The sequence below is a fragment of the Homo sapiens genome, chromosome 1 (assembly GCF_000001405.40).
Source record: "Homo sapiens chromosome 1, GRCh38.p14 Primary Assembly".
Classification (NCBI taxonomy): Eukaryota; Metazoa; Chordata; class Mammalia; order Primates; family Hominidae; genus Homo; species Homo sapiens.
The window spans coordinates 3,583,084-3,609,153 of record NC_000001.11 but is presented as its reverse complement, the minus strand read 5'-3'; the positions used below and the strand labels follow the sequence as shown (position 1 = coordinate 3,609,153).

Genomic DNA, 26,070 nt, shown 5'->3' with positions numbered 1-26,070 from the left:
GTGCTCAGTCCCTGCTGATCCTGTCCTCCCCATTACCCTTTCCTCCTGGGAATCTGATGAGCAGGCAGGGCTTGGCACGGGGCAGCGGCACCCCCGCTGGCTGAGTGTTCCTGAACCACTGGCTGCTGAGTTGAAGCGTTACTGCCAACCTCCTGTTAATGCTAGAAGCCGGGGCCTCTAGGAGACGCTGTCGGAGGCAGCGAGGGGTGTGCCCTCCAACTCGCAGATCCAGGTGCTTTGCCCCATCCCTGGAGCGGGCAGAACTGATCTATCTGCTGATTCAGGTCACTCCAAAGTGAATTTCCACTATGAGGAAGGATGGCTGGCCTCCTTCCTGGGGCCTCATGCAGGAGGCCTAGGCTGCTGGCTGGGCATCTGGGAACGGGGTCTGGGAGACGGGGGCCGATTGCCCACCTGCTAAGGCATGGACCCGCAGGGCTCGGACCAGCCATGGTTGGAAGCTCCACATTTTGGAGACCCTGAGAGGTGCTGCTGGGCTACAGAGAGGAGTGTCTGCTTCGCGGGGCTCAGGTTCTCTCTGATGGAGTCCCCTCTGGGCAGCTGTGCTACAAAAATGGCCAGTGTTCTGGAATCAGCTAATGATATGATGCCTTCCCTCCAGGGCGGGTCGGGCCCTGCAAGCTCAAGTCCAATCTTGCAAGTAGCTCTTTGGATCCACTGGGGCCATGGGCTCCAAGGGCCCCATTCGTGAGCCTGAGGCCTGCAGGTTGTCAGCAGGCCTGCTCCCCGACCCCAGGGTGTAGAAGGCAGCTGTTCTCAGCCTCCCCTTAGGGCCATGAGTTTCACAGCACGTGACCTGGAGGGGAAGGAGCTCTCACTTCTGTGAGCTGCTGCCTTTGGGGCTTTGAGTGACATTGTTCATTGTCTCCTTGTCTACAGGAAGGTACCTGAGAGTCCGAGGGGCCCCAGGGCAGGAGCTGGGCTCCCCCAACCCCAGGGCCTTGAGATTCCCCGCATGCTGGCTGCATGGGGCCCTGGGAAGCATAAGCAGAGGAGAACCATGGGGGTAAAAACGAGCCTTTAAAAATAAGCGCGAGGCCGTTGGCCTGAGCGAGCCCCGCCCTCCAGGGCCGCTGTCCTGAGCGAGCCCCCCCAACTCCCCTCACCCCCGCCGCCCACAGGGGTTTGTTCAGGGGCTGCATTCAGCCAGGCTGGGGAGCTGAGCCAGGCTGGCTGCCTGCTTTCTGGATCCCCGCCCTCCCCAACCTGGTGATGCCGTCGCTGGGCCCAGACTGTCGCTGCCTGCCCTGGAGGGACCCCGCAGCATGCCCGCCCATCTCTTGCCCGTGGAGCCCCGGCTCTGCTCGGGAGCAGATGGCCCACCAGCTGGGAGCATTCCGCCTCCGACTGCACCAGGTCCACTTTGTAGTTTGGGAATTCCTGTTCCACGCCCCCAGATGGGAGGCGGGATCCAGCCGCAAGGAACAGAAAGGCCTGGGACTCTGGTCCTGTCAAAGGTCACCAGGTGCTTTATTGGGTTCTCCTCAGACCCATGTGCAGCAGTGGGAGGTTTCTTTTTGTCCATTCTTCTGCCTGCCCTTCCCCTGCCACCTTCTCCATCCTCACAGGTGGAAAGGCCGCCGGGGCCGTGCGGGTGCGGTGCTGTGGCCGTGTGTGCAGTGCTGAAGTCCCCAGAGGAGACAGTCGTTCCCACACTCACCCCCTCCTTGAAGGCTGGCTTGATTGATGATCAATCAATTTTGTTGGGGGTCACTGCAAGAGCCATCCAGGAGCTGCTTTCAGGGACCACAGCCTGGCTGGGCAGGGCAAGGGCCCTCCGTCCTTGGGGAGAGCCGTGAAGGGGAGGAGTTATTGGGGAGACATAGGGCGCACCAGGCGGGCAGGGGCCGGGAGAGTGACGGGTGTGATGTGCGGGAAGGGCTGCTGGGTGGTCCAGGGTGGGGTTGGCAAGGGGTCTCGGTGAGTCCTTCAGCATTGTCGTCTTGCTGGTTAGTGGCAGCTGAGATTGCTGAGGTTTGAGGAGGGCCGGGAAGGACAAGAAGGCCCTTCTGAGGGGAGCACCCAACCCCTCAGTACCCCTAACCCCGGCCGTGTCCCTGATGTCTCCAAGCCCCGGAGGCCCAAGCTGTCATCACGCCTGCTTTCCAGATGCTGAATTGAGGGCTCAGAGATGGTCAGTGACTCCAGGCTGCACAGCAGGCCCCAGGCCTGGGGTGTCTGTTGAAAACCCAAGCTCACAGCTCTGCCCTCTCTGTGTCATCTCCATCCTGAGATGGTGACAGAGTCCCTTCACAGTGGCTGCCCTCAGCACAGGGGCCATCACAGAGTCAGGGGCTGGACCCTGTAGCCCAGAAGCTCAGGGATCATTGGCCTATTCCCCCCGGCTTCCGTTTTTTTATGGCAAGGAGTTCAAGGTCACCTGTGCCCAGGGCTCGCCGTGGGTAAGTGCGTTGCAAGGCACAGGGACGGCAAAAGCGTTCAATGCCTGTAGCAGTTCCTATGGCCCACTTTCCAGGTACAAGTGACACTTTTTCCGGAATAAACAGTCCCAGTATCTGCAGTAACACTAGCTCACACCTCCTGAGGGCTGTCGGGAGCCCTTTTCTGTGCAGGCTCATCTAACCCTCATGCAAACCTGGCAAGGTCACTGCTGTGAGTCCTCATTTTACAGGTGAGGAAACTGAGGCAGAGGTTCAGTAACCTGCGCGTCTTAAAGATGGGGCGTGGGGAGCTGAGATTCAAACCCAGGCTGCTTGGCGGTGAGACCTTGCTTCAAACCGCTAGGCCTGGGGTTACAAGCTTGAGTGTGCTCCAGCATCCCCTGGTGGGCTTGGGCAAACACACGCAATCCTTCCCACCCCGAGGAATGCTGGGCCCCACCCCCAGAGTCCTGGATTCAGTGGTCCAGGGTGGGGCCCAGGAGTGTGCATTTCTGCAGGTTCCCAGGAGAGGCTGCTGGTCCTGGCCGGGGGACCCCACTTTGAGAACCACTGCATGACGCTTTGCAGCCCTAGAGCCCGATGGTTGGTGGGGTGGGTGCGTTCATCACGAGTTCTGCCCTCCAAGATGTGCTAGTTCTTTAAAACACCTGTCTCTGATCCCAAATTTGACACTGTTACATGAAAGTGTGAATTTTTGAAGTTTCAGGGGGACAGAGTATCTGTCAGTAGGAGGAGGACAGGGTGGCACTGTCCCGGGAGGGGTTGGGGAGGGATCTTCATGAAGGGGCGCAGGAAGCACGGGGGTGCCACCGTGGAGCCAAGGCCATCCCTTGGGTGGGGGCCGGGTCCTGGAACCTGGAGAGAGTGGGCACGGCCTCCGCCCCTGACAGGAGGGCCACACCCCAGTGCCTCTTCCACATCTCTTCCTGGTCCTCCCATTGACTAAACCCACCTGGCAGCCAGAAGGCAAAGTGTGTAAGTGAGTGTGTGTGCCTGTGTGTGTATCTGTGAGTGTGTGTGAATGGGAGTTTGAGAGTGCATATGTGTGTGCGAGTGTGTGTGAGTTTGTGAGCTTGCATGCGTGAGAGTACAGAAGTGTGCGTGTGCATGAGTATGTATGTGATTGTGTGTGTGTCATTGTATGAGTGTATGTGTGTGTATGTGAGTGTATGAGTGTATGAGAATATGTGTGATTGTGTGTGAGTGTGAATGTGTATGTGTGTGATTGTGTGTGTATGTGTGTAATTGTGTATATGTGTGTATAGGTAAGCATATGTGTGTATGAGGGTGTGTGATTTTGAGTGTGAAAGTGATTGTGAGTTGTGTGTATGTAATTGTGGGTATGGTAGTGAGTGTGATTGAGTGTGTGTGAACGTGCGTGAGTGTATGAGCATGTTGAGTGTGTAAGCATGCATATGAATGTGAATGTGTGTGATTGCGTTTGTGTGATTGTGTGGGTGTGAGAGTATGTGTGAGTGCCTTCTGTTAGTGTGATTGTGTTCGAGTCCATGTAAAGTGTGTGTGACTGTGTGTGTGGGTGTGTGTGACTGAGTATGAGTAAGGGTGTATGTGACTGTGAGTGTGTGACTGTGTGTGGGTGTGTGTATGAGTGGTTGTGAATGTGTGTGATTGAGTGTGAGTTTGTGTGTGACTGAGAGTGTGAGTGTGAGGGTGTGTGTTTGTGTGTGTGCAGGTGCTGGGAGGATGTGATCCACAGAGGTCAGCCTTGGGTCACAGCAGGGTGGGGTGGGGCAGTGGCCCTGGGGGCTGTGAGACCATCCCCCATGGGTGCTGTAGTCTGGGGGTCAGGAATGAGGTCAGGACCCAGCCCCAGGGAGGCTGAGGAGGGCTCTCCCTGGAGACGTGACCCTCTGTCCCTGATCCAACCTCTGGTCCTGCCCCCTCCCCTATTCTCACTCTGGGATCCGTGGCCCTTAGGACACAGAGGCCCAACAGTGCTGGGGGAAGGTGGGAGAGACCTGGCCCTTAGTCATCACCATTAGCTGGTGATCTTGAGCAGATCAGGGGGTCACTGTCACTTCCTCCCTGGGAGGGGAGAGATTCGATGATGTAATGTCAGGAAAGGACCTGGTGCTGGGCACGGAGGAGGCACTCCTGAACGAGTCACCTCTTCCCCAGCTCCCAGGTAGAAATAGTCGGGGATTTTGGAAGTCTCGCTCTCCACCCAGGTGAGAGTTGTCTTCCTGGTGCAGGAAGAGGCAATGGCAGAGCCTTTCCACCTGCCCTGGGTTCGTGCAGCTGATCCCGCCTAGCTGGAGGGTCCCCATTGCTGCGGAGGCTTCTCGGCTGCAGCTGCCGGTCTGTCTGGGAGTTGGTGGGGAACCTGGACCCTGCTTATGGCCAGGAGGAGCTCTGCCCTGCCTCGTGCCCTGCCTTGTGCCCCACCCTGCAGTCACCTGGGCCTGGACTCCAGGAATCAACGCTACCTCGGGTGGGCAAGCCTCAGCCCTGGGATGGGACGTTTGGGAAACTGCGGGAGAGTGTGGGCAGAACCTCTCGGCAGGAGGTCATGGGCAGGACATGTCCAGCAGCAGCCCCAGCCCCTCTCGGACTTGACTGGAGACCTGGAGCTGGACTCTGGTCCCAGCCTTCGTCTGCCCCTTCGTGGGTGGGCAGCTGGAGGCCAGGGTCCCTCCTCTGGGTGCCACAGCAGCCTGGTGGAGCCCCTGCTGTCCCGGCTGGTGAGGCCCTGCCATTTGCCCCTCTCAGTTTTTGCCATCGCTATGTTGGGTCTGTGCTTTCTGGATTTGTTCAGCACAAGGGGGTGGGCTGAAGTCAGAGGGGACACAGGGCTTCCCACACAGCACGAGCCCCAGGAAAGAGGAAAAATAAGTCCTCCATTGCAAGAGCCTCCATCTGGGGGCGGCTGGCCTGGGGCCAGGGTGGCTGGACGGGGCGGGCAGTCTCTGAGTGCTGAGCCAGGGTCCGGCCCACGGGGCGGCGGCTGGTTAGGAGCTCCTGGCAAGGCCTGGGCGGAGGGCGGTACCGAGCCTGGACAATATTCCCGGTGGGGTGGGGACCTCTGATGAGGAGGCTGGGGGAACCCATGCCACCTGCTTGCCCCCAGGAGGTGGGAGGGGCTCTGGTGGGATCTGCCAGGCTTGCTGCACCTGAGGCTGGAGGGGAGACACCGGCCCGCACCAGGTATGCCTGGCCCTGGTTCTGGGGAGCAAGTCCAGAGCTGGGAGAGCAGGACAAGCCTCTTCTTTCCTCTGAGGCCCCCCAGACGTCACCTGACGTAGTGGGACACGAGCACTGGAGCCTTGTCCTCTCCCCCCGAATTTGCCTCTGTGGAGGGAGCCCGCCTCACCCCTCGGTCAGGGCAGGCCAGGGGCGAGCCCCTGCTCTGGGGGTGCTGGCCCGTGTGGCTGTCTTTGGAGGGTCCCTCCCTCTGACCCTTCCCCCCGCAGGGCCTGAGTCCTTTCTCCACCTGCTCCGAGCCCGGTGGGGTCTGGATGGCTGGCTTAAGGTGCCTGTCCCTGGCATGCCCCCTCCCCTGGTTTATGCAGCCTCTGGGCTGGAGAGGCCTTGGAGGGACCTGAAGGAGTTTGGCAGGGATGGGGCTGGGGTTTTCACCTCCTCCTCCAAGAGCAAACACTCACCAGTGTGGGTCATAGGATGCCGGGGAGCCGCTGACTTCACAGGGGATGGGCCCGGGTTCACCCCAGCCATGTGCCCCAGCAACATCAGGCCTGGGGACATCTCTGAAGCGAGGTGGGGAGGGCTGGGGTGGAGAGGACAGAATGGGCCCGCGCTTGGTCCTGGATTCTGGACGAGGTGTGACTGTGCCTTGAGGCCACAGTTCCTGTCTGTTGAGGCAGCGTCGTTGGTGGCTGTGTTGCAAGGTCTTAGGGCACTAGGATCCACGCTGTGGGCCATGCGTGGGGGATGTTGCGGTCATCTTGCCTTTTCCCCTGAGCTCCTGTGCCCTCAAGCCTGGGTCCCACGGCTGGCCTGGGGCACTGGCATGGGCACTGTGCCGTGGAGGCCTGGCCACGGGTCTGGACCTCACTCCAGATGAGCTGACACCCAAGGCTGGGGGTGCAGGAGGGGTGGGTGTTGCCGGCTGGGGGTGGCCGAGGCGCTGACTCTCCGTGTCTCTGTTCCAGGCCCCACGTGTGTGCTGAGCAGGAGCTGACCCTGGTGGGCCGCCGCCAGCCGTGCGTGCAGGCCTTAAGCCACACGGTGCCGGTGTGGAAGGCCGGCTGTGGGTGGCAGGCGTGGTGCGTGGGTCATGAGCGGAGGTAAGTGCAGGGGCCCGTGTTGGGGGAGGGGCTCCATTCACACAAAGGGCGGCACTGACCACCCGGGAGCTGGGCAGCTGAGGCCAGGACCCCGTCCTGGTCTCAGGGCCACACGCAACCCCTGCCTGAAGCCCTCATCTGAGCATGAGGCCTCTCCCACCCTCAGGGTGGGTCTGCCATGGGGCTACTCACATGCTGTAGCCCTCTCCTGTTTAGCCGAGCACCTGAGTCCTTTGTGAGGGGTGTGTGGAGGAGGAGGGGCCCAGCCCGGGAGGATGCTGGCCACGCAGGAAGGGGAGAGTGGTCTCAGCCTGCCAGGGGCCCGGTGGGAGGCTGCTGCTTCTTGGCCCTAGGGCCTTGTTCCCCAACACACGTGAAACTTTTTACTGCGCAAGATTTTATTTCAACACCGAACTTGAGTGCCTGTGCACACCTCTCCCCCTTTTATAGACTCAGGCTCTGCAGAGCCAGCCCTGCCGCAAAGCGGGTTGTGCCGGGAGCTGGCAGCCCCCGTGTCAGGTGGAGAGTTTCCGTGTGTCTGTGGGAGGGAAGGCAGGAACGCATTCTCAGAGAAGATCGTGGCTAGCTTCTCAGCCTGGGATCTGCGGAGGAGCCGAGGCCCTGCTCTGCGCTGCTCCCTTGGGCATGGGGTCCACGCGGGACACCTGCACCTGCTGTACCTGCTCCAGGGGGCTCTGGCAGCTTTCTGGTCAATGTGTGTTTGCTGCGCAATTCAGATGTGTTCAGAGTAGAGGAGAAAAAAACCGTTAAGCAATAATGGTGGTTCTCACTCAGGGGCAGTTCTGTCTTCCTACCCCGGGACAGTGGAGATGTGGAGTCAGGTTTGGTGACAGGTGAGCTGGGCAGGCTGAGGGGGCCAGGGATGCTGCTGAGCATCTCAGCACACAGGACGACCCCCCGAACAGACGACCCGGCCCAGTACCAGGAGGGCTGAGGTTCAGGGATCCTGAGCCCCCAAAACAAGAGATCTCAGGAGGGCTGAGGTTCAGGGACCCTGAGCAAAAAGAAGAAATCTCCTCTCATTGTTTTCCCCAAAATAGCAGCTTGCAGTCTGTCCTGACTGTCACCCATGCGTGGATGCGGGCCTGCCCTGTGGATGTCATGCGTGCATGGATGCAGGTGGATTTCCCTGCGGGAATTTGTTTGCATCAGCCAGGTCTCCCGCCAACAGCTCGTGGTGGAAGAGCTCTGTTTCTAGAAGCAGCCAGAAGCCATCTGAGCCCAGGGCTGGAGAGAGTGCTGGTGGCCGGGCTGAGGAAGTCCCCTCGCTATGGGGGCATGATTTCTCCATTGTGGTCTCTAGGCTAGCCTGAAGGCAGGGTGGGAGCAGCATTGCCGATGTGCCGGGGTCCTCAGCCTCCTGGCAGGGCACTGGGGGCAGCCGTGGACAAAGTCCCCCTGCTTGGAGGGGGGGGCACTGGCAGGGGATCCCCTCCCGGCATTACCCAATGCAGGGTGTCCGGGCCTCTTCACCAACCCTCCCTCCCGAAAGGTGGCCATTCTGCCTCAAGGTCCTGGGCTTGTCATGGGGGAGGGGCCGAGGTCCACCTCCGAGGACCCTGGGCTGTTCTCACCTGGCCCCCGCTCCTGGGGGAACCAGAGGCTTCTTACCACCCTGGTGCCGGGGGGATGGGCGTCCTGTGTGCTCTACTGGAACCAGCCCCAAGTGAGGTGGTGACATGTGGCCTGGGCCCCTGTCCCTTTGGGATGCTTCTGGGGCTGTTCGTGGGCACAGGGTGCTCCCAAATCCCACGTTTCCAATTTGTGTCCCCTCCCAAGCTGCTGGAGGCTGAATCCAGCTGTGCAGCCTCGGGGGAGTCTCCTCAGATGCCAGGTCCAGATATCACTCCACGCGGCAAGACTTTGGGTGGTGCCTGGAGCACCGGCCTGAGGCTTGCTCCCTTCATCCCTCCCAGGAGCCAGCCCTGTTCCCCGCCCTCCAGCTCCCGCCTGTCCTCCTTCAGAGCATTGCTTCTCCTCCTCTGCCATCAGGAGTCCCCGTCCCTAACCCTGAGCCCTTGCCCATTTGCCCTCGAGCCCCCAGTGCTTATGACCAGGTTCCCAACTCACTGTGGAACTGGTGGGGACCCCAGCATCCCAGCTGGGCTCTGGGTGCCATCGTGGAGGTGGGCACAGGCCACTCCTCCTGTGCCCACAGGGACAGCTCTGCCACACAGCAGATACCTGGGTATGTGTGGCTGGGCTCAGCAAGGGCAGCGCTGCTCATTGGCTTGGCCACCATTCAGCCGGGGCACTGAGCATTTGAGGCCCCTGGGTTCTGGGGAGATGCAGGGAAGGCAGCCCGGGCTGGGGAGATGCAGGGAAGGGCTGGGCAGGCTCCTGGCGCTGCAGCCCAGGCCGGGGCAGCTGAGGCGGGACCCCACAGCACTGTGGCACTGAGGGGTGACTCAAGGGTGAGCTGGTGCCATGGGAGGCTCGTGGTTTCATCGCTGGTTCCACCCCTACCAGCCTGGCGACGTCAGCCTCCTTTTTCTCACCCGTGAACTGAGCTGACAGTATTTCCTGGGCCTGGGGTCGTGCCTGTCAGAGCCTAACCCTTTCTGGGCTGCCTGGCACAGCCCAGAAACGGGGCACAGAAACGGGGTGCCCACGCGCAGAACAGCCCCAGCAGGGCAGGGTCAGGGGCTGGCCTGGGCTTCCTCAGGCCCTGGAGTGAGGAGCAAGCATGAGTGCTGGCCGGCAGGGCACCACGCACGCCCCTCAGCCTCTACGCACCTCCATCTGCCACCTCGCCAGCCGGGCCGAGACTGCCGCCAGGCCCTCCACCGTCACACGACTGGGTGACTGGTGACTCGGGCTGTGAGGCCACAGCTAGGCTTGGCGGCAGGCACCCTGCCCAGGCCTGAAGGGTGCCACATGTGGCTCTGAATGTCCAGCTGTGCCTGCAGTGTGCCTGTGCCAGGTTGTTGGGGCCTCATTGTCAGGACAGTGTCCCCGAGGGCTTGGCTTCTGGCCTTCTCTTTCTGTGGTGATTCTTTTCCACTGGTAATTCTCCAGTTGGTTGGAGCAGGATGCAGGGTGGCTGAGAGCCGAGGGCGAGAGGCAGCAGCTGCTCACCCCACAGCCCGAGGGCACCCTGGCTTGCCTGGTGCAGGGTCACCCTCCTGCCCTGGACAGACAAGGAGACACCTCCTCTCCTGAGCTCTGGGGGGGAGGCCAGCAGGCTGGATGAGACCCAGTAGGGTGGGAACCCGCCAAAGCCTCAGTTTCCCCACCTGGCTCACAGCAGCGGTGAGGATTAGATGAGCCCCCTCCCCAGGCTGGCCCCGCAGTGGCTGTGTTGTGGTGTTGTGGTGGCTGCGGTCAGAAGGGCAGCAGGCGTCAGCCCCTCGTCTGGCTTCTGGGCTGTGGAGCCTGCTGCCTGCCTCAGGCAGGGCCGCGGGGTGATGGGTGCTCCAGCCCGGCCCGGCCCAGAGTAGGTGAGGCTGTGAGTACAGCTGAGAGGGCGCCCGGGTATTCAGGGGTCTTGCCTTCAGCCCCCTCAGTGGGTACTTCCCTGACAAACCCGGCCGGGGGCCCTTTGAATAAAGGGGCTCCCGCGCTCTGCAGAGCAAGGTCCCTGAGAAGGAAGGGGTGGGGGAGGGGCTCTGAGGGTGGAGCTGCCGCTCAGGTCCCTCCTGCCAGGCCCACACTCCCTGAGCCGTGGCCTCCACTGTGAGCTGGTGGCTGCAGAAGGCAGAGGAGTGGGCCCCGGGGGGGGGGGGGGGGCTCGTTACCATGACGACCCCCGCCCTGCGTGAACCAGCTCCCCAGCGTTGGAGCCCGTGTGGGCTGGTGCTGGCTGCAGGAGAACGGAGGGCTGGTCTTCACGGGGCTGCAGGGACTGCAAGGGTCATTCCCTTTTGGGGGGATGGAGGGGGTGGTCAGCGGCCCAGGGAAGCAGCACGTAGCCCGGCACTGCTGCAGCCTGGGAGAGGGGATAAATATTTACCACGCACAGGCCCAAACACTCTCAGCTCTGCCAAATATTGTTCGCCGTGGTGGTCGGTTTCTGTCCGGGCAAGTGGTTTCATGTCCTGCCAAGACGGGGTTTGCAAGGCGCTCCCAGAGCGTCTCTGTGCAGTGCGCGTGCATGAGCACGTGCTTCCGGGAAGCGGCCCGCCCGCCGGCCGGCCACTGGCCCCGCTTGTTTGTTGGATCAGGGTCCCCAGGGCCCACCTCCGGCTTCCCATGCAGCAGCCCCGGCAAGCTGGGGGTGTTTTGTTACCCAGAGACGGCAGCCCGGCTGCCTTGGCCACTCCCAGAGGCTCAAGGGCCCTTGATCCCAGGCTGTTGGCTGGGCCCCTGGTCACCGCCCCTGCAGACAGCGGCAGAGATGGGGGAGGGTGGCTGGCTGTGGGGTCTGCAGGCTGCAGGGCAGGCCCGGGGCGGGCGCATCTTCTACTCCTTCGATTTCTCTTTCTATGTCTCTCTGTCTTGCCTCTGTCCCTCTCTGCCTCTGTCTCCATCCTCCCGCTGCTCACATGCACGTGAGCAGTTGTCCTTGCAAACACAAAGGCCTCAGAGCCTTGGGACCCCTGGGCAGGTACCACGCGGTGAGCTGTGCAAGAGTTTCCTGCCACTGCTGCAGTGAGCCCCGACAAACCAGGTGGCTTCAAAACAGCAGGGCTTTATTCTCTCCCAGCTTCAGAGGCCGGAAGTCCGAGATCAAGGTGTGGGCAGGCTGGGCCCCTGCAGGGGCTCTGAGGGGGCGTCTGTCACAGCCCCCAGCTTCTGCTGCCGGCTGTCTGGGAGTGCCTTGGCTTGTGGCCGCCACTTCCGTCTCTGCCTTCCTGTTCACACAGCCATCCCCTGTGCCTGCGTCCAAATTTCCCTCTTCTTATAAGGGCGCCCGTCACTGGATTAGGGTCCCCCATCCACTGTGAATGACCTCATGTTAACTTGACTGCAGGTGAAGCAGAGACCCTATTTCCAAGAAGTAAGGTCACAGCCGGGTGGACCTGAGTTTGTGGGGACATTAGTCACTGCAGAACAAGCAGCGGGAGACAGGGCGTCAGGGTGGGCAGGTGGCACAGGTGGCCGTCTGTCTTGCTAGTAGTCCTTGCTAGAGTGAGGGTGGAGGCTGTTTGGGCAGTGGAGGGGTGAGGACCCAGGCGTCAGGGCGGCTTCCCGAGGAAGGACGGCAGGGTGGGCAGGCGGATCCTGGGGCTCATGTGACCCATGCTCTGGGGAAGCAGGAAAGGAGCTTCCTCGAGAGGCAGCGAACCTTCCAGAAGGCAGAGGAGTAGGCATCCGTGTGGCCAAGGCCTCATTCCCCTGATGACCCCAGCCCTGCGTGAACCAGCTCCCTGGTGGCAGTGGAGCTGTGTGAGCTGCTGGTGGCTGCAGGGCAATGAGTGGGCGGTCCTCACAGGGGCTGCGGGGTCCGCGGGCCGACCAGCCCTCTCCAAGGGTCTTTCACTTTAGGGGGCATGGAGCGGGTGGTTGGCGGCCTGTTGGGGGCAGCTCGAGTTGGAAGAGGCCCAGACAAGGAGGAACTGAGACTTACGAGCCCCGGGATGGGGCTGTGATGGTGGGAGGCTTGCTGGGGCTGTGGGCTGGGGTGCCCCCACCTCCCACCTTCCCTCTGCTCTAGGTTTGTAGCTGTCCCACTCAGGGTGAGTTCCAGAGTGGGAGAGGCAGGCCCCTTGCCAAATGCTCTGCCAAGACTTCCCATGCGTGGGGGCTGGTGATGCCTGTAGGAGCAGGGTGGAGACGGGGGCTGGGCAGGGGATGGCGCGGGGTGCCCTGGGGTGGAGACAGGGTCTGGGCAGGGGATGGCGCAGGGTGCCCTGGGGTGGAGACGGGGGCTGGGCAGGGGATGGCGCAGGGTGCCCTGGGGTGGAGACGGGGGCTGGGCAGGGGATGGCGCGGGGTGCCCTGGGGTGGAGACGGGGGCTGGGCAGGGGATGGCGCGGGGTGCCCTGGGGTGGAGACGGGGGCTGGGCAGGGGATGGCGCGGGGTGCCCTGGGGTGGAGATGGGGGCTTGGCAGGGGATGGCGCAGGGTGCCCTGAGGTGGCCGGGCTTTGTGGACTGCACGGTGCTGGTGGCCTGAGGCAGCGTCTGGACTTGGGGAGGGGGACGTCATGTCCTCTGGGTAGCTGGGGTCTCTCTGGCTGTGGGCACCTTCTCAGGCTGGCCAGATCGGGCTGCCCATTCCCAGCAGGACACTGCCGTCTCCTGGGGGGCCTTACCATTTTCTGCTCAGCCTTAGTGACAGCCGCAGCCCGTCCCATCTGAGCAGGAGCCAGCCTGTGAACCAAGGCTGCCCTGGCCACACTGCCTCCGGGAAGCCCTCCCTGCCTGCCCGCCATGGTGCCTCCTCTCTGACCTGGGCCCACACAGGTCCTCCTGCTGCTCCCCTAACTGCTTCCTCCAGGTCTCCTCTGTCTCCCCAGCTCAGCTTTGTCCTCCTAGGTGTAGGGGGCAGTGGCCATTGCACCTGTGTGTGGGGCTCCTACTGGGGCCGTCTGCTTCACTGATGGACTCAAAATATGGAGTTTGAACTGGCACCTCCCCTGCCTGGCACAGCCCACCCGGTCCCGGGCACCATGGGCCCACTTGGCTCATCCCAGAAGCCATTCTGGCTCCAGGGCTGGGCACTTCCAACTCCCCGAGATGCTCACAGACCTGCCTGGTACTGAGAGCCGAGTGAGCGGTGAGATGTGCGTCCCAACGCCAGCCTGGAGCCAGGACCACCGTCGGGAGGGAGGGGGCCAGGCAGGGGCAGTGAGGTAGCGTGTTCCCGGGTTGCATGCAGCACGAGGCCACTGTCGCTGGCTCCAGCATGGCCCCTGCTGCCTCCATGCTGCCCCCTCGTTCAGAAGAACCTGGCTGGGCATTGGCATCAGCCACCCCACCCAGGAACCTTGGTGCTGCAGCCTGTGCCGCCGGGAACCCGGCTGACGCAGAGTCAGTCTCCCCAGGGGTGCAGTGAGAGCCGAATACAGCCAGTCCCGCGACGGTAAGCACTTCCCTTCTCTCTTTCTTTCTAGAACCGTCTACTACATGGGCTACAGGCAGGTGTATACCACGGAGGCCCGGACCGTGCTCAGGTGCTGCCGAGGGTGGATGCAGCAGCCCGACGAGGAGGGCTGCCTCTCGGGTGAGTGCCGCCTGCGCCTCCCCGCCCTCCCTCCACCTCCACCCCAGAGGACTCAGCAGAGCCATGAATCTGCCCCGGGCCTGGTGGGGATCGCCCTTCCCCAGCAACACGAGAGACTCAGGGAACACTCGCTCAGCAACGCCGTTTGCCAAAGGCTGCAAAAGCGACGTCAGCGAGGCTGGCAGAGCTGCGGAAAGAGAGAGCTGGGGCCGGGTGGGGTCAGTCCACTTTGCTGGCTCTGCCGGAGGACAGGAGCCTGCCATTGGCAGGGTGTCTGAGGGTTTCCTGGGGCCATGCATTGGTGTCTGTGGTTCATGGACTCCTGAGCCTAGTTCGGGGTTTACCTGCCACACCACGCTCACCCCCAGCTCCCTGAGTCCCTCTCCCTGCCCTGTTTCCCTATACCGTGTTCTCCCAAGGCCAATCCGGGCCGGGTGGCGGGCCTCAGCTTCAGTGGGTGTAAGGGAGCCGCTCCTTCCTCTCTCCGTTATGTAGCCAGCACAATTGGAGAGGCCCGTGCTGCATACGACCTGACCCGGGCAGGTGCTGATGTGCTGGGGCTCAGAGATGGGGGCCCAGGACTGGAATTGGGTGGTCTGAGCTGAGCGGGCGGCTCTCAAGCCTCTGCTTTGTAAAAGGAATGGGGCTCACAGCTACAGAGATGTTTGGGAAGGGTTTCAGGCATGGGGACAGAAGCCCCGCCAGTGAAACCGCCTGGGCAAAGGGGTCAGTGTCCCTCCCTGGGAGGGGTCAGTCCAGAGGTCATGGGACCCTGTCCCATAAAGCCGGCCTCCCCTAAAAAATCGAGGTGGCATCCTGCCAGTGAGGGACAGGCTGCGCCGTGGAGTGTGGCCGGGAGTCACGCACTCCCCACATTTTTATTTTGTTACTTTTTATGTTTATTTTTTAGAGGTAAGGTCTTACTCTGTCAACCAGGCTGGAGTGCAGTGGCACCACCATAGCTCACTGCAGCCTCAAATTCCTGGACTCAAGCAATCCTCCCACCTCAGCCTCCCGAGTGGCTGAGACTGTAGGTGTGCACCACCACGCTTGAATAATTATTGTATTTTTTGTAGAGACAGGGTCTCACCATGTTGCCCAGGCTGGTCTTGAGCTCCTAGGCTCAAGCGATCCTTCCACCTCGGCCTTCCAAAGTGCTGGGATTACAGGTGTGAGCCACCATGTCCCGCCAGCACGCTCCACGTTGAGGTTTAATGGACAGTGGGCTCCCCTGGGCTCCGGTGACAGGAACAGAACCCAGCTCTAGGGGTCCTTATGGCGGGTAGTTGCCTGGAGCCGCAGGGGCTCTTCTCACACAGGAAGCATGCAGGCTGCAAACCGGGGCTGAAGTTGCCCGTCCTGGCCCGAGCTCCAGCAGGAAAAGGGGAAGAGAAGGGATGATGGCCATGTTTTTCCAGTAGAGGAAGTGGGTAATTCTCTCCAGGAAGGGAGGAGAGTAACAAGGAAGGAGGAGGAGATGGGGCCACTGCTGGCAGCAGGGAGGGGGGTGCTGGCCAGCCGCCCCTCGGAGGGGGTCCCAGCCCCCACTGTTGCTGATGGCACCTGAGCTGTGCCTGTTTCTTTGCTCCTGTCGTCTGGGAGGAACAAAGGGGTCTTTTTAGTGGGGAGGGGGCAGACATCAAAGCCAAGGCTCCCCCGGGTTTCCACTCTGAGGCAGGGGTTCTGGGGCCTGCCAAAGGGGATTCTAATAATGGGGGGAAACAATAGGCAGCTTGGAGCAGGCCGGGGGCGGGGAGAGGAAGTGGGGCTGCCAGCCCGAGTCCCCAGGGTTTACTGGGGGAGAGCGGGCTTTTTGTTCCCAGGAGGGGACTTGAAGGCACAGCCGCATGAATGGCTGGGGCGGGGGTGGGGGTGCCCCTGGGCCTGGGGTCCTGGGTGGGGCGGGGGTGGAGAGCCCGGGCGGGGAAGGCAACTGCAGGTAGAGGTGTGCGCAGCCGCGTTCCCCCGATGCCGTCCCCTCCGAGCCCCGAGCTGGGCTCTGGCTATCCTCGTGTGCCCCTGTGTTCACCTGCGTCAGCAGTAACTGTCTCAGAGTCAGGCTTGAGGGCAGGGGCTGCTGGGTCGTCCCCCGAGGCTGGTTCAGCCGCTCCCCGCTGTGGGGATCTCAGTGTCTCGATGGTCCCAGCAGGGCCTAGTGAGTGTGCCCATCTCCATCACCAGCCTGGCTCGAGGTGAGCTTTGGGCCCGTCCTGCCAGCTCTGTCTGCCTGTGCTGTGGCCAGGCACTAGGCCGCCATCTGCATGTGGGACCCTGGAGCCTTAGAAGAACGTGGTGGCTCTGCCCTGGCCTGGCCCTGCTGGCCGGAGTGGGGTGGAGGGCATCTTGGCTGAGACCCTCCCCGGGGCAGCCCGGGCTGGGCTGAGGCTGGGGGCAGGGAGCAGGGGAGGGTGGGGGTCCTGGTTGTCACGTCGGTGGGGTCTCCACACAGATCCTGGACTTGAGCTTTGGCTTTCTTCTTGTTTTTAAACATTCGTTTTTAGCGCAAGATTTGCTTGTTTGTACCTTTTACTTTTGCTTGTTTTCATGGTCCGGGGAATCCCTGTGATCTCCTTCTCTGGCCGCTCCCTGTTCAACCCCATGGCTGGGTCCCAGCAAGTGAGGGGGGCGGTGGGTGGGTAGGAGTCAGGGTTCACACGGGCTACCCCTGAGCCCCAAGGGTGGGAGGGGTGCTGCCTGGCGCGTCCTGTGCTAGCCACAGAGTCATTCATTTATTTGGTCACTCAATTGTTTGCTGGGTTTTGGCTCAGCTGCTGCCGAGTCCTGGGGGTTCGGGGACCCTGGCAGCGGGTGCTTGCCCATGTGGAGCTCATGGCTGGGATGCTGACTGTGAGCAGATGCTTCTCCTGTGGCCAGGGTGTGACGAGGCCTGCAGGAGTGAGGATGAGCAGATGAGGGCCATTGGGGGCCTGGAGGGTGGTGCTGGGGACTGCGGGAGTGTCTGGGGGGCTGCCTGGGAGCCCGGAACGTCAGAGAGGGAGCAGTGAGTCAGGGTCAGCGGGGGGCCTGGCCAAGGCTTTTGGACCTCCCCACACCACGAGGCCTCCAGTCTAGGCAGGGAAGCCTGCAGGCCCTTCCTCAAGCTGCCCCTCTCAGGGCAGTGGGCTGCACGCCGGGACCTGCAGGCCTGGGGGCACCGTGCCAGCCTCTCTCTAGACCGGCTGCTCTCCTGGGGCCACTGTGTGAGGTTGTTGGGCTGGCTGGGGCTGGGGGCTTCTCTGCATCCCACAGTAGTGCCCTGGCAGGGCAGAATGGGTGGCCTCAGGGACCCTGGCCTGGCCTGACCTGAGCCAGCATGTGGAGCAAGTGTTCGCTGATGGGCCGGATGCCGATGCCCGTCCAAGCAGCCAAGAGTGGAAAACATGGCTCAGTACTGGGCTCAGTTCCCTCCAGGTCGCTTGTGAGCTACGAGACCTTGGTAGCAGCCCCCACCAGCCCCCTCGCTGGTGCCCCCATCCGGTCCCTTGTGAGCTACGAGACCTTGGTAGCAGCCCCCACCAGCCCCCTCGCTGGTGCCCCCATCCGGTCCCTTGTGAGCTACGAGACCTTGGTAGCAGCCCCCAACAGCCCCCTTGCCGGCGCCCCCATCGGGTCCCTTGTGAGCTACGAGACCTTGGTAGCAGCCCCCACCAGCTGCCTCGCTGGCGCCCCCATCAGGTCCCTTGTGAGCTCTGAGACCTTGGTAGCAGCCCCCAACAGCCCCCTCGCCCGCGCCCCCATCAGGCCTCAGGCTCCAGGACTTAGGTGTGACAACACCCACCTGAAAACCTGGGATTAAATGAGTCACTTCATGTGGAGCCTTTGCTTGGTGCCTGTATACAGTAAGAGCTCAAGCAGTGCCAGCTCTTGTTCTTAGAGGAGGAGGCCTGGGTGAAGTCTGCTTGGCCTGTGGTGACTCCTGTTAGTAGCAGTGACAGTGACAGTGGCACACATGGTGATCGGGCACCTTGGTCTTGGCATCCCTTGGCCAAGGGCTTGTGAGCAGGGGTCTCTGGGGACCGAGCCCAGGGCCTTACCCCCTGCTCGGTGGTTCTGGGATATCTCTTCCTGCCTCCCCGTGCTCAGCTGAGGCTCTGCCTTCCCACCCTGGGTTAGCCGAGCGTTTCCGACGCCACATTCCAGCTCTGCCGTGCGCTTCCCATCTCTGCTGGCTCATGCGAGGAGGGCGGGGCGCGGCTGCTGGTGGGGTCGGGGGCTTGTGTTGGGTGGGAGTCTCAAGGTCCCTGCAGGTGCTGGAGCCCCTCAGCCCCTGGGAGGCTCTGCCTCTGTGGGGTCTGCTGAGAGTCACACACGGCTGCTCACGGTCTCCCCAGCCAGTGTGCCTGTGGGCACTGGGGCCGCGCCCAGCCAGGGTCCTCCCTGCTTCCTAGACCAGGGCACCGCTGTCCCTGTGAGCTGGAGGATGATGGTGGGGTGCACGGCCCCTGTGCAGGACAGATGCTCGCTCTTTACACGGCCCCTGTGCAGGACAGACGCTCACTCTTTAGAGGGCCCTGTGGGTCAGGGCTTGGCTCTGTCTCTGCCCTCTCTTTTCTCACCCTTTGCCCCCTTCCTTGTTTCTCCATCACCCTCCAGCCCCTGCTGGCAGGGGAGGGACAGGGGAGGCCCCTGAGCCGATGATGCCCCCCAGCCCCCAGCCGTTGTGAAATTTCCTTGCTTCCGTGTGACCTGGACACCCGGCCGTGGAGGACAATGTCAGGGCCTGGGAGCCCTGCCGTGTTTGTGTAGGAGCGAGGAGTAGGCTAACGCCCGTGAGACTGGCCGGAAGCTGCTAATCGTGTTATGATTTCCCTGAGAGCCACTTACTTAGTGCCGGGCGGGGCGGTGGGGCCTCATGACCGGGGCTTCCAGAGCCCACAACGCCTTGCGGAGCCTGTGGCCCGGGTGCAGTGGGGTTCGGACCCACTCCTCTTGCTGGGGGGGTGTCCTTCCTGCTCATGGATTCTCTGAATTCCACTTTTATCCTGGTCCGGTGCCAGGTTTTTCCCAGACCCTGCCCATGTTTCAGCCGGAGTCTCCCTGGTCCTGGCAGCACCATTTACCTTGGGCACCCCTCCTCCAAGCCGGGCTCCCCGGTGGGCAGAGTGGCAGATGAGCGCCAGCCTGGAGCAGCTGACTCGCTGGTCCTTCCGCATGTACACCCTGAGATGGAACCGTGGAGGAACAAAGCCCAGGAATACCCTGCCTGCAGCCCCCTGTACCCCGCAACTCCTCATACGGGCTGTGCTGGCCTGGCCCAGGGGAGGGGGAGGCCACTGGACGGAGAGGCAGGGCCTCAGCATACAGTTAGGAGCTGCACCAGCTCCATGGGCTGTGATGGGCACTGGGAAGGGATTCTGTGGTCCAGTAAGCGCTTCCTAAACCAGAGTTCAGCAGATTTCTTCTTTTGCAGGAATTTTCAGAGCCTTTAATATGCGAATGTGCCCTGTGGATTCCTGAGACAGACTATACAGGCTTTCCCAAACTAATTGCACCTTGAATCTTGAGGCCATCTTAGAAAAGGAAAATAAAGAAGCCACAAAGTCACAGAGATAAAACAGTGCCCTAAAATGTGTTGAACGGGGCCGATGCAGGCGATCCACTTGACATACGGTCATGGAGGCCCAGCCACGGTGCTCAGGACCCAGAGGGTAGCAGTGAGCAGAAACCTGCACCTGCCCTGACCTCCTGGGGCTCCTGTCCTTGCAGGAGACACTCAGGAAAGGATGAAGCCGCCAGTGAGAAATGCTACGGAGTAAAGTGAGGCAGGAGGAAGGGGCAGAGGGGCTGGGTGGTGCTGGCTTGGATGGGGGTCCAGGAAGGCTCCTCTGTCCGGGTGGTGGTGGTCTACTGATGTGAGGGGTGGGCCTTGCACGTCCCTGGGAAGAGGTCACTGAGTAGGGAACAGAAGGTGCGGGGCCCTGAGGCAGGATCTTGTGGCTGGAGCAAATGGGACGGGCGTGGGGTGGGGGGCGCAGGTATGAGCTCCCGGGGCTGCTGCAGCGAGGGACCACGAGCCAAGCACTGAAACCAATGTGAGTTTACTCTCTCACAGTTCTGGAGGAGAGAAGCCTCAGATCAAGGTGTCAGCAAGGCTGTGCCTGCTCCTGAGGCTCTAGGGGAGGGTCCTTCCTATCTCTTCCAGCTTCCGCGGCGTTCCGTGGTTGTAGACGCCTCGTTCCCCACTCTGCCTCCGTCTCTACATGGTCATCTCCCCTCTGTGTGTCTCTGGGGCCTTTTCTATAGGCCCTAGGGCCCACCCTAATCCAGCAGGGCCTCATCTCAGTCGTGGTGTTCATCACATCTGCAAAGACCCCATTTCTAAGCAGGGTCACATTTAGAGGTCACAGGAAGGCAGGAATATTTGGGGGACAGGATTTCCACCCCACCACAGGGGGATAGGCCTGGGGCCCTCATGAGGGCAGGGGCAGAGTCTGTGCAAAGGAGGGGCTGGGCCTGCCGTGCAGGGCAGAGGTGGGAGTGAGGGCTGCTTCATGGTGGCCCTTGTGAGAGGTGACAGGGCTCACTCAGTTCAGGGGGTCAGGAGGGGCAGAGAGAAGGGGTGGGATTCTGGATTTGCAGATGGAGCAAGAACTGAGTCTAGAGAGCTTGGGCCCGGCCCTGCCTCTGTGAAGGCTGGGGCTGCAGGACCTTGGAGCCCTTCTCTGTGCCCAGCCTGCCTGGCCCTCGACTCTGGGGCAGACCCCCAGGCACCCACGGCCCAGGGAGGACGCTTCAGTGCGACTACCCAGAGCTTCTCTCCAGGCTGTCCTGTCCCCTCCTGCCCCCTCCTGCCCCCTCCTGGCCACTCCTGGCCACTCCTATCCCCTCCTGCCCTGTCCTGCCCCCTCCTGGCCACTCCTGCCCCCTCCTGTCCCCTCCTGCCCCCTCCTGGCCTCTCCTGCCCCCTCCTGGCCACTCCTGCCCCCTCCTGCCCCCTCCTGGCCACTCCTGCCCCCTCCTGGCCACTCCTGCCCCCTCCTGCCCCCTCCTGGCCACTCCTGCCCCCTCCTGGCCACTCCTGCCCCCTCCTGCCCCCTCCTGTCCCCTCCTGCCCCCTCCTGTCCCCTTCTGCCCCCTCCTGGCCACTCCTGCCCCCTCCTGCCCCCTCCTGTCCCCTCCTGCCCCCTCCTGTCCCCTTCTGCCCCCTCCTGGCCACTCCTGCCCCCTCCTGCCCCCTCCTGTCCCCTTCTGCCCCCTCCTGCCCCCTCCTGTCCCCTCCTGCCCCCTCCTGGCCACTCCTGCCCCCTCCTGGCCACTCCTGGCCACTCCTGTCCCCTCCTGCCCTGTCCTGCCCCCTCCTGGCCACTCCTGCCCCCTCCTGTCCCCTCCTGCCCCCTCCTGGCCTCTCCTGCCCCCTCCTGGCCACTCCTGCCCCCTCCTGCCCCCTCCTGCCCCCTCCTGCCCCCTCCTGGCCTCTCCTGCCCCCTCCTGGCCACTCCTGCCCCCTCCTGGCCACTCCTGGCCACTCCTGTCCCCTCCTGGCCCCTCCTGTCCCCTTGCTACCTGGGGGATGCTGAGCTGTCCAGGGAGGACAAACACATTCTCAGGAAATCCATGGCCTGCGCAGGCTTTGAGTCTGCAGGGAGGTGTTGCGATGGTTTGTCTCATGAGCAGTGCAGGCTCAGAGATAGCCAGGTCCACGCATGAGCATGATCCTGTCTTTCCACAATGTCAGACTTTATTGATGCTATTTCTATCACAGAGGCTGTGAGCTCCATGAAGTTCGTGAGGAGGCGGTTCTCCTTCGTGCTTCCGGTTCACTCTGTAGTCAGAGCCGCAGGCACGCAGGCTCCCGCCGCTCCACACGCCCGTCAACATTGCAAACTATACATCACAGTGTACTTAGTCAATATATAAATGCTATAGGTTAAACATTTCACAACAAACAAAGTCACATTGAACACCGGGAGAAAAAGAGATAGGAGAAAGGGTCAACGGGAGGAAAGACAAAAGACAAACAAAGACAAAAAGCATCTCCTGGTCTGGCCCTGGCGGCCTCCGTGGGCCTTACAAGGGCCTCTGATGTGGCAGAGCCTTCGGGGCAGATGCTGACTTCTTTCCACGAGGACAGCCCTTTCCAGCAGCTGAAGGCCCGCTGGTGTTATGACCGCGGAGTCCTCGGTGAGGCCTGAGAGTGGAGAGTGTGCTTGTTTGTGTTGCATGCAATCTTTATTTTTAAAATTTGTTTATTAAGCAACAGACAGCTTGTCCTTGTTGGCAAAGTGCCCTGTGAGATATGAAATAGAGTCTGACTCTAAGATGGAGTTACTTATGTCAAGGGTGCTATATACAGCTTGTGTTGCTGCAGAAACCCCGGACGGGGGTGGTGGCCTTCCTCCTTGCACACAGGTGGGGTTGGCAGAATCGATGGGGGTCCAGGCTGCTGGACACTGCCCTGGATCTGGGCTCTGGTGCACCTGCGGCCTTGGCACCTATAGTCAGGGGTGCCAGGGTGAGGCCTGGGCTTGGGGCCCCATGTCCAGCTGTTGGACCATCAGGCCGGCGGGCCCGGCAGGTCTCCCTCCCCTCCTGGGTCATCTGGGCCCTGTGGCCTCTGCCCACCTGGTTGGCTGGGCCTGCTGGGAAGGGGCTGCAGGGCCCTCTGTGGACCCCGGGCCGCCCTCCATTTTCCTGCCTCCGCCATTTGCTTTTCCTTTTCCGTTCGGGCCGCATGCCAGCCCCGAGTCCCAGCGTGGGAATTGGCTGAGCTGGCCCCCCAGGCTCTGGGCTCCCTTTTCCTCCATGCAGACACAGCACGGGCTTCACAAATGGCCTGGCAGGACCTGCTGTCCCACTGTGACCCCCACCCCTACACCCCACGTCTCTCCTCCTATGGAGTCACATCCAGACTCACAGACCCCTGTGCCAGGCACACGTTTGCATCTGCACCCGCCGCCCACCAGACGAGCTCACTCATGCACTGCCTTGCACAGATTGGCACACACACACGCATACGCACACACATCTGTGAGCACCTATTCACGATCATGCCCATACATGCTCACTCGAGCGTGCACAAGGCCACACGCCACATGCATGCTTATGTGCAGACATATGCTCACACACCATGCTCAATCATATGCACAGGACATGTCTCCTCGCTCACACCCACACACAGGACATGTGTCCTCACACACAGCACGTGTGTCCACACTCACACCCACACACAGGACATGTGTCCTCACACACACACAGGACATGTGTCACACCCACACACAGGACACGTGTCACTCACACAGGACATGTGTCCTCACACCCACACACAGCACGTGTGTCCACACTCACACCCACACGCAGGACATGCGTCCACACACCCACACACAGGACATGTGTCCACACACCCACACACAGGACATGCGTCCACACACCCACACACAGGACATGCGTCCTCACACCCACACACAGGACATGTGTCACTCACACCCACACACAGGACGTGTCCACACACAGGACATGTGTCCTCACACCCACACACAGGACAAGTGTCCTCATTCACACCCACACACAGGACATGTGTCACACCCACAACAGGACATGTGTCACTCACACCCACACACAGGACAAGTGTCCTCACACACAGGACATGTGTCACTCACACCCACACACAGGACATGCGTCCTCACACCCACACACAGGACATATGTCACACCCACACACAGGTCATGCATCCACACACCCACACACAGGACATGCGTCCACACACCCACACACAGGACATGTGTCACTCACACCCACACACAGGACGTGTCCACACACAGGACATGTGTCCTCATTCACACCCACACACAGGACATGTGTCACACCCACAACAGGACATGTGTCACTCACACCCACACACAGGACAAGTGTCCTCACACACAGGACATGTGTCACTCACACCCACACACAGGACATGCGTCCAGACACCCACACACAGGACATGTGTCACTCACACCCACACACAGGACATGCGTCCAGACACCCACACACAGGACGTGTGTCCTCACTCACACACATAGGACATGTGTCACTCATTCCCACACACAGGACATGCGTCCGCACACCCACACACAGGACATGCGTCCACACACCCACACACAGGACATATGTCACTCACACCCACACACAGGACAAGTGTCCTCACTCATACTCACACATAGGACATGTGTCACTCACACCCACACACAGGACGTGTCCACACACCCACACACAGGACATGTGTCACTCACACCCACACACAGGACATACGTCCTCACACAGGACATGTGTCCTCACTCACACTCACACATAGGACACGTGTCACTCACTCCCACACACAGGACGTGTGTCACTCACACCTACACCTGCTCCCATTCATGGCTGCAGCTCCATCCTCACACCTGGCCCAGAACCTCCTTCTGTTCCCTCTTCAGCACAAGAGCTGCCCTGTAGGGTGCTGGGTGGGGAGCCCCGTGACGCCTTAGAGTCCCCAGGCACCTCCGGGCTGGGAGCCCCATCCAGGGGGTGTGCAGGTGCTGAGGGCAGCGGCCTTACCACCCGCCCATGCCTCCCCGGTGCTTGCGGGCAGAGACCTACCCTGGATTCTGTGGTTACCGTCTCAGATGCAGGCCTGGGGACTGCTCAATGTCCTCAGCAGAAGGGGCAGGAGTCCCTGATCCTCGGCTCCGTCCCTGTCCCCTGGAGGTTTCTGCTGGTGCATGGTGAGGGGACGTGGGCCTGCCCTGGGACTCTGGTGTGGGGGAACACAGGCCATGAGGCACAGACGTGGCGCCAGTCACCAGAGTCCAGAGTGATGCTTAGTGGCAGCTGGAGCTCCTTCTTCTGGAAGGTTCTGGGTGCACTGCCCCTGCTCCAGCGATCACCTTTGGAGAGCCAGGGTGGTGGGCGAGGAAGGAGGAGAGGAAGGCTTGATCCGCCTGGTGGTCACCCCAACTTCCCAAAGGATGGCTGGGTTGTTCAAGGGGCAGGAAGAAAAGTTGCCAAGGGCTCTGGCCAAGCGGCAGCTCCAGAGAAGTGGCCCAAGGTCTTCACCTGCAGGAACCGAGTCCCTGGAGAGGAATCCAGTCCCCTTTCCACAGTTAACCCGATTCTGGAAATGAGCTCCAGCCACTGGGAGAGGCGTTTGCTTGTGGTTCAGTCCAATGTGAGAAAGTGGGGGGCATTAAAGAGGCTACAGACATGGCCTGGACATGCCGCCATGCCCTCCCCAAACCTGCCGTCCTGCGCCGGTGGCACCCTGGATGCCTCTAAGGGCCCTCCCAGCCTTAGGTCTAGGAATTTGAGGCAGACCTGCCCAGTTTCACCCTAGAGCAGATGCCTGGGAAGCTGGGCAGCTGGCAAATGGCCACGGTCCTCACTGCCAGTTCCCATTCTGTGAATGAGGGAGAGGCGTGGCCCTCGACAGCTCTGGAGGCCGGGCTGCTGCAGGTGGCTGTGCATTGTCTGGTGGCTGCGCGTTGTCTGGTGGCTGCGCGTTGTCTGGTGGCTGCGCGTTGTCTGGTGGCTGCGGGTTGTCTGGTGGCTGCGCGTTGTCTGGTGGCTGCGCGTTGTCTGGTGGCTGCGCGTTGTCTGGTGGCTGCGGGTTGTCTGGTGGCTGTGGCTGTGGGTTGTCTGGTGGCTGCGCGTTGTCTGGTGGCTGCGCGTTGTCTGGTGGCTGTGCGTTGTCTGGTGGCTGCGGGTTGTCTGGTGGCTGCGCGTTGTCTGGTGGCTGTGGGTTGTCTGGTGGCTGCGCGTTGTCTGGTGGCTGCGCGTTGTCTGGTGGCTGTGGGTTGTCTGGTGGCTGCGCGTTGTCTGGTGGCTGCGCGTTGTCTGGTGGCTGTGGGTTGTCTGGTGGCTGCGCGTTGTCTGGTGGCTGCGCGTTGTCTGGTGGCTGTGGGTTGTCTGGTGGCTGCGCGTTGTCTGGTGGCTGCGCGTTGTCTGGTGGCTGTGCGTTGTCTGGTGGCTGCGGGTTGTCTGGTGGCTGCGCGTTGTCTGGTGGCTGTGGGTTGTCTGGTGGCTGCGCGTTGTCTGGTGGCTGCGCGTTGTCTGGTGGCTGTGGGTTGTCTGGTGGCTGCGCGTTGTCTGGTGGCTGTGGGTTGTCTGGTGGCTGTGGGTTGTCAGCACATGCTGCAGTGCGGAGGGGATGCTGACGGCATGGGGGTGTCTACCAGGAACACCTGCTCTCGGTTTGGAGCGCAGCTTTGCGCATCTTTGTTTTAGAGCCTCGTAGTATTTTTCCACCCCTTGGGAGCAAGTCCATGGGTAGCCCTCCTCCTCCGTCCCCTTGCACCCTCCCT

At 61.7% G+C, this 26,070-nt stretch overlaps 1 protein-coding gene across 13 annotated transcripts in view, besides 4 other annotated features; it reads left to right on the top strand.

Moving 5' to 3' along the window:
* MEGF6 (multiple EGF like domains 6) overlaps positions 1-26,070 on the top strand; it is a 136,836-nt gene that overhangs the window by 15,633 nt on the left and 95,133 nt on the right. For all 13 annotated transcript variants that reach the window (XM_017000533.3, XM_011540886.3, XM_047448229.1 and 10 more), the window contains 2 exons: positions 6,554-6,688; positions 13,707-13,816. In XM_017000533.3, coding sequence (XP_016856022.1) covers positions 6,554-6,688; positions 13,707-13,816 — 245 coding nt within the window. The remainder of the gene's footprint in view (positions 1-6,553; positions 6,689-13,706; positions 13,817-26,070) is intronic.
* Positions 11,676-12,572: an enhancer, noted in NCBI's record as "H3K4me1 hESC enhancer chr1:3513146-3514042 (GRCh37/hg19 assembly coordinates)". NCBI's record gives its function as "activates a minimal SCP1, AML or CMV promoter by ChIP-STARR-seq in primed H9 embryonic stem cells {active_cell/tissue: H9 hESC(primed)}" and the evidence as "EXISTENCE:reporter gene assay evidence [ECO:0000049][PMID:30033119]".
* Positions 16,716-17,395: an enhancer, noted in NCBI's record as "H3K4me1 hESC enhancer chr1:3508323-3509002 (GRCh37/hg19 assembly coordinates)". NCBI's record gives its function as "activates a minimal SCP1, AML or CMV promoter by ChIP-STARR-seq in naive H9 embryonic stem cells {active_cell/tissue: H9 hESC(naive)}" and the evidence as "EXISTENCE:reporter gene assay evidence [ECO:0000049][PMID:30033119]".
* Positions 17,876-18,440: an enhancer, noted in NCBI's record as "H3K4me1 hESC enhancer chr1:3507278-3507842 (GRCh37/hg19 assembly coordinates)". NCBI's record gives its function as "activates a minimal SCP1, AML or CMV promoter by ChIP-STARR-seq in primed H9 embryonic stem cells {active_cell/tissue: H9 hESC(primed)}" and the evidence as "EXISTENCE:reporter gene assay evidence [ECO:0000049][PMID:30033119]".
* Positions 18,441-19,006: an enhancer, noted in NCBI's record as "H3K4me1 hESC enhancer chr1:3506712-3507277 (GRCh37/hg19 assembly coordinates)". NCBI's record gives its function as "activates a minimal SCP1, AML or CMV promoter by ChIP-STARR-seq in primed H9 embryonic stem cells {active_cell/tissue: H9 hESC(primed)}" and the evidence as "EXISTENCE:reporter gene assay evidence [ECO:0000049][PMID:30033119]".